At 38.2% G+C, this 9191-nt stretch overlaps 1 long non-coding RNA gene across 1 annotated transcript; it reads left to right on the forward strand.

Annotated features, from left to right (window-relative positions):
- Positions 1-402: 402 nt before the first annotated feature.
- LOC105373768 (uncharacterized) lies at positions 403-1747 on the forward strand. The gene is made up of 3 exons (XR_923635.3): positions 403-569; positions 662-892; positions 1720-1747. It is a non-coding gene; the product is annotated as an uncharacterized LOC105373768 (long non-coding RNA).
- Positions 1748-9191: the final 7444 nt, after the last annotated feature.

Here is a 9191-nt window from a genome sequence, read left to right on the forward strand (position 1 = left end):
GATATAATTTTTTTTACTCCTGGTAATTTTAAAAATAATGAGTATGTGGTTATTATTTTTTCTTTAAAATAAGAAATTAACATTGAGAAATGAAAAATAAATGGTTGACATTACCATTGCTCACTTGTCAGTTCTTCAGTCTTCCCCAGCCCCCTTGCAGGTAAATGCACTGTGGACTATTCTGGCCCATGGACTGTCTCTATGTGGCTGGGGACCTGAGAAGCTCCTGTATCAGTCAGGACTAAATCAAGGAAGCAGAACTACTCAGAGTACTGTAGAGTAGGGATTTATTATAATGGTAACTTCTTGCACAATTGTAGGAGAAGCTGGAGAACAGTCACTTCTCAGCTCCTCTGATGCATTGGCGTGGGTGAACAAGTTAGAGCTTGCCAGGAAATCAGTGAAGCAACACATATGCAGCTGCTAGAAGAGGAGTGTAAAGGAGAGCTGGTGGCTTTGGAAGGTTGCTGTTTATATGTCTGCTGAAGGATAGGGGATCCTATTCATCAGTGGCATTTGGAAATAGAGCTGGATGCAGAGTGGAGAGTGATAACAAGCTGAATCCACTGGTATGTTTGTGTCTGTCTCTCAACAGCAAGAAGATTAAAGAAAAGTGAAAATCTTCTGGAAGATCTTTATATTTCTTATTTCCTTTAACTAGGATGAACTTCAAAGAGTAATGGCTGCTGCTTCATTTCTGCTTTCCAAATCACATTGGATTATCTTTTGACCACCTCTGAGAACCATATGGGGAAAGAGGATTCTGGGCAATATTGTTCCAGGTCAAACAAGCTGATAAACTACAAGCTGATAAACTACAAAACAACCGCACTCCAGCTCATGTCAGCTTGGTGTCATTCACATCTCTTTTATCCATATTTGCATCTAATAGGTAAGTCATGATTCTACCTAACATGATGCACCTATCTCTCATGCAACTGAAAACCTGCTAACTCCCTCCTCCAATTCACTCACTTCCCACCAAAAGAGGATACAAAGTCCCATAGTCATTTCATTCATCTGTGGGTGGTGTTTATTCTCTTCCTAGATTGGTCACATTCTTGCTTTCATATCTTCTAATAACTTAAACATTGACATATTAGGTTAATCACTATTAACACATATTATGTTAGATTGTAAAAAAGAATGGTCAATATGTATATATATACACAAATCTCTGTATCTTGTATTAACTAATCTATTTCTTTGTTATTTTTTCCTCTCTTGGATATATGTTTATATGGATATATACACACAAATATATTTATGTATAAGTAAAGAGGAAATACAACTACTGTAGTTTTAATTTTTGTAAATGGTCTCATGGTTGTAGCTGATATTACTTGCTTCTTTTAATACCTATTCCATATTCCCTTTGTCCTCAGCAAGCAACTTAGCTGATCATGGTTTCTTGACTTGTAGAGTGTCCCAAAACTGAATTCCTGGTATCTATGCCATTAATAGTACTGACAATTTCAAGTTCTTATAGTGTTCCATTAACTTTTTTACTGTAAGAATATATGAGTGATATGGTTTGGCTGTGTCCCCACCCAAATCTCATCTTGAATTGTAATTCCCATAATCCCCACATGTTGTGGGAGGGACCTGGTAGGAGGTAATTGAACCATGGGGGCAGTTACCCTCATGCTGTTCTTCTGATAGTGAGTTCTCATAAAATCTGATAGTTTTATAAGGGGCCTTTCCCCCTTTGCTCAGCAGTTCTCTCTCTTGCTGCCATGTGAAGAAGAAAGTTCTTGCTTCCCCTTCTGCTGAGATTATAAGTTTCCTGAGGCCTCCCCAGCCACGCTGAACTGTGAGTCAATTAAACTTCTTTCCTTTATAAATTACTCAGTCTCGAGTATGTCTTTATTAAAAGTGTGAGAACTAACTAATACAGTAAATTGGTACTGCAGAGAGTGGGACATTGCTGTAAAGATACCTGAAAATGTGGAAGCGAATTTGGAACTGGGTAATAGGCAGAGGTGGGAATAGTTTGCAGGGCTCAGAAGAAAACAGGAAAATGTGGGAAAATTTGGAACTTCCTAGAAACTTGGAGGGCTCAGAAGACAGGAACATGTGGGAAAGTTTGAAACTTCCTAAAGGCATGTTGAATGGCTTTGACCATAATGCTGATAGTTATATGGTCAATGAAGTTCAGGCTGATATGGTCTCAGGTGGAGATGAGAAACTTGTTGAGAACTGGAATAAAGGTGGCTCTTGCTATGTTTTGGCAAAGAGAGACTGGTGACATTTTGCCCCTGCCCTAGAGATCTGTGGAAATTTGAACTTAAAAGAGATCATTTAGGGTATCTGGCAAAAGAAATTTCTAAGCAGCAAAAAGTTCAACAGGAAGCAGAGCAAAAAAAAAAAAAAAAAATAAAAAATGTGGAAAATTTGCAGCCCAATGATGCAATAGAAAACAAAAATCCATTTTTCTGGGGAAAAAAATGAAGCTCAATGCAGAAATTTAGATAAGTAATGAGGAGTCAAATGTTAATCACCAAGACAACAGGGGAAATTGTCTCCAGGTCACATCAGAAACCTTCATAGTAGCTTCTCTCAACACAGGCCTGGAGGCCTAGGAGGGAAATATAGTTTTGTTGTCCAAGCTCAGAGCCCCCCTGCTCTATGCAGCCTCAGGACACGGTGCTATGTGTCCCAGCTGCTTCAACTCCAGCACTGGCTAAAAGGGGCCAACATACATTACAGGCCATTGCTTCAGAGAGTACAAATCCTGAGCCTTGGTAGCTTACATGTGGTTTTGGACATGTGGGTGCACAGAAATCAAGAATTGACATTTGGGAAACTCCACTTAGATTTCAGAGGATGTATGGAAATACTTGGATGTCCAGGCAGAAGTTTGCTGCAGAAGCAGAGCCCTCATTGAGAACCTCTCCTAGGGAAGTATGGAAGGGAAATGTGGGGTTGGAGTCCCCACATACAGTCCCCACTGAAGCACTGCTTAGTGGAGCTGTGAGAAGAGGGCCACTCTCCTCCAGGTCCTAGAATGGTAGATCTACTGACAGCTTGAACTGTGTGCCTGGAAAAGCCACAGGCAGTCAATGTCAGCCTCTGAAAGCAGTTGGGAGTGAGGCTGTACCCTGCAAAGCCACAGTGGCAGAGCTGCCCAAGGCTGTGGGAGCCTACCTTTCACATCAGTGTGCCTTGGATGTGAGACAAGGAGTCAAAGGAGATCATTTTGGAACTTTAAGATTTAATGACTGCCCTATTGGAGGCATTACTTCCTAGGGTATGAAGATCTCTAAAATAGCAGATCCCAAATTGTGAGGACAGGGAGCAAAAATTTTGCTATTGGATAATTAAGAGTAACAGGGAGAGAAGCTACTTCATTTTCTATTTCCTGCTTCCCTAACCAATGAATCTTGACTAATAGGCAAAAAAAACCCAGCATCATATATTGGTCATTGATTCAGAGCATATACTATATGCTGAATGACGTTGCAGCACTCCATCAAGTGTGACCATTCAGTTGGCATTGTGTTTGAGTCTTAAAAATTTATTCCAGGAAACATGGTAGGATCAGTAAATTCAATAAGCAAAAAATAATTGTTGCTCTTTACTTACTGTAAAACAAGTTCCTTGGGCAGAAGCAAAGCTATATGATACATCATGTTAGTGAATAAAGCATTCTCTAAGTTTACAGATGGTAGTAGTTTTTACTACAGCCTTGTGGACTTGAATGGCAAACCTGCATTCATAAAAGGTATCTTATCAAGTGAGAAAATATTGCGGCCCATTCATTGAAAGAAATTTTTCAATGTAATCAAACTGCTATGAGGTGGCTGATTACCCTGGAGAGTGGTATACCATGTTGGAACTCTGTGTTAATCTCTGTTGTTCTCAGGCTGAGACTCAGCAGTGGCTGTTGACAGAGTGGCCTTTGTGAGTAGAAGTATATGTTGCTGAGCTCATGAATGCCTTTTATTTTTACTACTGTAACTATCTTATTAGTGAGCTGGTACAGAAATATCACAAGTGGCTGAGGAAAGAGGCTGATTGACATTTATAGACTGAGAAAGGTTGTCTACCTGATTATTAAAATCTCCTCTGCTGGAGGTCTTCAGTGAGCATTAATATGGGACACAAATATCCTCACACTCTGTGTCCATTTCTCAGAGGTTGATCCACATTCTTCTCCTCCAGGACTACTTTTTACCAAATTTAGTCATGTTCCTCCAAGTCCCTGACTATCTAACAATTGTCAGCCTTTGCTTAAGAATCAGCATAGATCTATATCTCTGGCCATCTCTCTCTCTTTTTTTTTTTTTTTTTTTTTTGAGATGGAGTCTCGCCCTGTCACCTGGGCTGGAGTGCAGTGGCATGATCTTGGCTTACTGCAACCTCCGCCTCCTGGGTTGAAGAGATTCTCCTGCCTCAGCCTCCTGAGTAGCTGGGATTACAGGCATGTGCCACCATGTCCAGCTAATTTTTTTGTATTTGTAGTAGAGATGGGGTATTACCATGTTGGCCCTGCTGATCTCGAACTCCTGACCTTGTAATCTTTCTGTTCATCTCTTATTCTTATTAGACAAAATAAAAAAATCCCACGTGCACTGCTCAGAGTTATAGCTTCTAGGGGGATTTTCCCTGAGTAGTAGTGCTAAAAGTAGCACTTTTAGAAAGTGCCAGTGTACTATGTGGAACCATTTGTAAACCATTGCCACATCTTTCTTCTCTTCAGTCAACTGGTTAAAAATACTCACACAGCTGTGGGCTGATAGAGTAGAGGAAATGTAAGGGGAGCAATGGAAAGCTGAATTATTTACTCATGCATCTTGTGCTTTTAGGAATTGCTGGTGTTGATGATGGAGTTGTACTGTTCACTCCCAATTTTATGGGGCGGTTAAATCCAAAATTAGTTCTTGACAGTCAATTTAATTTTCAAGATAATTTGGTGGTCCATTGTTAAGTATCTATTCTCTACTAGGACCCAACATAGTTCAAATGCTATTTCTCAAAAGTGAGCAATATCCACAAAGGATGGTGAAGTTTAGCTTCTAAATCTTAAAGTTCTGTACTTAAAAAAAAATTTCATTAGTGCTAAAAAATTTCCATTGTAAAGCATAAACACTTCAATCACAGGTCTGCTGAAATATAAGGCCTAAGTGGCAGAACAGCTTACATGGAAAGCTGGACCTTTTACACATTTTTCTCTCGTTTGAATTCCACTCAAAGATAGCAGTCTCTTGGATTACTCAATAATTGAGTCAGAGTAGTATGCCCAAATGAGGTATAAGTTGCCTTCAAAATCCAAAGAGGCCCACCAGGCTTAGTCTCTTTCTCGATGTTAGGAAGGACCAAATTAAGCAGCTTTCTCTTTACCTTGGGAAAGATATAATAACATGGTCCTGACCATTGGACCCATAGAAACTTTTCTGAAATTTTTTTGAATATGAGCATCATACCGAGGTGTTTAAAGTAATTACTGCTTCCTGCTCACCAAATCTAATCAGCCTGACATTATTAATGTAGACCATCAGGATGTCTTGCATAATGGAGAGATGATCAAAGAAGGTTCCTGTAGGGTAGATTATGACATAGGACGTGAGAGTTGATACAGATAGTTCTGAAGTAGATTTGTGGTGGTATATCAAATGAAAGCATGCACAGGATCAGCATTATTATTTCAGGAGCCCAGGAATGTATTGATTTGCCTTAGTAAATAAATCACATATGGAACTGAAGCTACAGTATGCATCATTACCAGTTTAAGTTTACAGTAATACGCTATCATTCTCTGGGATCCCTGTGTTCTGTACAAAAGCCAAACATGCAAGTTGAATAGACATGTGGTAGGAATCACCCTCTCTGTATCCTTCAAGTCCTTAATGTTGGCACTTATACCTGAAATTTCCCCAAGGAATGAAGAACTGCCTTTATTAATCTGATTGGTAGAGGTAGTTCTAGAGGTTTCTCATTGGTCTTCCTCACCATTCTAGTTCTATTTTATGAGTTAGGAAACCAATGTGGAGATTCTGCTAGTTGTTTATTATGTCTTTACCTATAATGCATGCCAGAAGCAGGCAAAGAAATATGGGTTGATTTTAGGGACATGTTGATGAGATAGATGCTTTTCAAAACTTCATTAATGACTTTACCTCCATAAGCCTGTCTATATTATGGCTGACTAGTGGTCTATAGTGGTATTTGGGTCTGTTGCCCTGGAACTACTCTTGGTACCAATAATTGTAGTAGTTAGCCTCCATCAGGAAAGCAGAACCACTATCAGCATTATGGAACAAAGGGTTTATTGTTAGTTAAGAATTTGCACAACTGTAGGAAATGTTAGAGAAATAAGAGTGTAAAAGGAATATTTAAGAATCAATGAAAAGTCACTAACCAGAACTTCTGAGCCACTGGCACAGGTGAATAAACTGGGGGTTGTCAGGGAATACATTTGCCTGCCAGTGTGAGACAGTGAAGGAAAACTGCTGGAGAAATCTAAAGATAGCTGTTGCCTCTGTGTCTGGGGGTGGGTTTGATCTTATTGTTGATTAGAAAGGCTGGCAGTAAGGAAAAAGAGCTGGACAGGGAGTGAGGTTGAGCAAGAATAAGCTAAAATCTACTACACCTCTGTGTTTATCTCTTAGTGTGCAGAGAGCAAAAAACAAGGTAGAATCTGATGATAGCTCTGCATCTGTCTCTCGCTATCTCTAGCCAGGATAACTTTCAGAATATAATCACTGCTATCTCACTTTTGCTTTCCAAATCTTGTAAGAATTTCTTTTTTGGCCACCTCTAATAGGAGAAACTTAAGGGAAAGGGATTTTGGGAAACATTTTCAGATTGGTCAAGTTAACACAGAATAAAACCTCCACACCCCTTGTGTAATCTTCCAGTTTCTTTTTATTCTTCCAGGGGTGAGCACATAGACGACATGTTGAAACAATGGTGTCATAAGATCAAAGTTTCTTCAATTGCTGAGTGACTGCACAGAGGACACTTTCCTTGTAGAGTTATTCAAACTACAAAGACTTTGTGAGGGGAAGATAAACTTTTGTTTTTTAATCCATTTAGGTTTTGGGGGTTGTTACAGTCTCTTTGCCTATTATGATGAACACACCCTTCTTTCTCCCTTAAAGCAAGGGAAGTCCTTGATTAAGCAAGACGGTTTTTATTTGAAGGTTGAAGGGTAACTTTGGCAATGATAAAAGCTCATGATTTTGAATGTGGTTATTTGTGGTGGAGTGTTTTGGGGAGTGGATTTTTTTTACTGTTTATCACAAGTAGAGGTGGCACATAAAAAACAGAATAAAAAGTCTGAGGGGTCACCTCTATTAATGTTTTTGACTCCAGAGAGGAATGTGTTGTGTTCTGTAACAACCATGCCTCAGACTCAGCTGAGAACCTCCACCATCATCCACATGTTTGATGGCCTCTTACTCTGTACCTAGCTGAGTGAACTCTGCACTGTCTCAATGCCATCTTGGCCACATTTCTTCTGTTTCTGATTGCTTCTCCTTCATTTGCTCCAATGATTTCTGCCTTCTTGCTCTAAATCTCTACTCCATGAGTTCTTAACTGTGTTATACATTCTCATCCTATGTAAAAGACTCTCATGTATGATTTTTATTTCATTCATTATCTCCTTAAATTCTACTGTCACATCTATAAGTTCTGGATAATTGTGCACTGTCATTTTTGATATTCCACTGCAACAATATATTCAATATCTTTGAGGCCAAACTCATTTGCTTTTTGATAAATTTGTTTCTTTCTCATTTTTATTTTCCTGTTTATCAGTGGTTTTTCTATCTGTATAGTCAACCAAACTAGAAACCTTTCTTCTCCCCTTATAACCAACCATATTCTACAAGTTTTTCTTATTTATCTCTAGCTCTTCAAATCCCTCTGATCCAGAGGCCATTTATAAGACAGGGTAATATCTAGTAGCCAAAGAAGTTTATGAAATTACAGTTATAATAAAGTTGTGATATACTTTAAGATAATGGAAGATTAATTCCAAACTCAATAAAGACCTACTAATGATAAAGTCCTATGGCCTTTTGGCATATTTTATGTTTTAGTGACTTACGCATCCAATTTAAACTTATTCTTAAAAGCTAAATTTTACTATTTTATAATACTATGTGTTTGCCATTTTGCCTGCAAACATATGTAATATTTTAAATATCCCCTTTAATAGCTATATGTTCAAGCAAACAAATCAGGCTTTAAGAATACTTGTAATAAAGAAATGCTAATGAATGAGCATACATCTCTTATTTAAACAAAAGAAAACATTTAAAGTTAGTTTAGACAAGTTTAAAAATCATTGATAACAAAGGAATCTCGATCTTGTTGGACAAACTTAGACAACTTATTAAGTGTGAAAACAAAAGACAATTTTTATGTAACTTTTTTTTATTTCTGGAAAATATGGGATGAATTGTAACTTGATTTTGAAAGAGTAATGCTGTTAGAATTTTCAAGACAGGGTAGTATTTAGTAGCCAAAGAAGGTTATGGAATTACAGTTATAAGAAAGTTGTAATACACGTTAAGATAACGGAAGATTTATTCACAACTCCATAAAGACCTACTAATGATAATGCCAGCAGTATTTCATTGAGTTCTACTCCTTTATGAATTCAGTCTTAATGGTACATAAAATGTGCTCCAGGTAATTGCTTAACACTGTGAAGTTGACTTGAGAGGTGCTTATTACAAGGATTTCTCCTCTGTTTCTTGCAACTCTTGTTAGCTTATCAGCCCCACTAATGCCTGCTTCCTTAAGCCTGATGCACAGTTTGGCTTCTGACCTTTGGCATTGTGTTACGTCTGGTTTCTTATCTTTCTCAAGAGCAGAATCTACAAGGACCAGATTCTTAAAGGGACCACTGTTCAGAGTTTGACATCTGTACCTATCAATAGGTTTCTTGCATTCATTTCTTTACAATCTTTCTTTCTTTTCTTTTCTTTCTTTCTTTCTTTCTTTCTTTCTTTCTTTCTTTCTTTCTCTCTCTTTCTTTCTTTCTTTCTGTCTTTATTTCTCTTTCTCTTTCTCTCTTTCTCTTTCTTGTTTTTTTCTTCCTTTCAATGGTTAATACTGAGTATCAATTTGATTGGATTGAAGGATACAAAGTATTGATCTTGGGTGTGTCTGTGAGGGTGTGGCCAAAATGGATTAACATTTGAGTCAGTGGGCTGGGAAAGGCAGACCCACTCTTA

The sequence above is a fragment of the Homo sapiens genome, chromosome 2 (assembly GCF_000001405.40).
Source record: "Homo sapiens chromosome 2, GRCh38.p14 Primary Assembly".
Classification (NCBI taxonomy): Eukaryota; Metazoa; Chordata; class Mammalia; order Primates; family Hominidae; genus Homo; species Homo sapiens.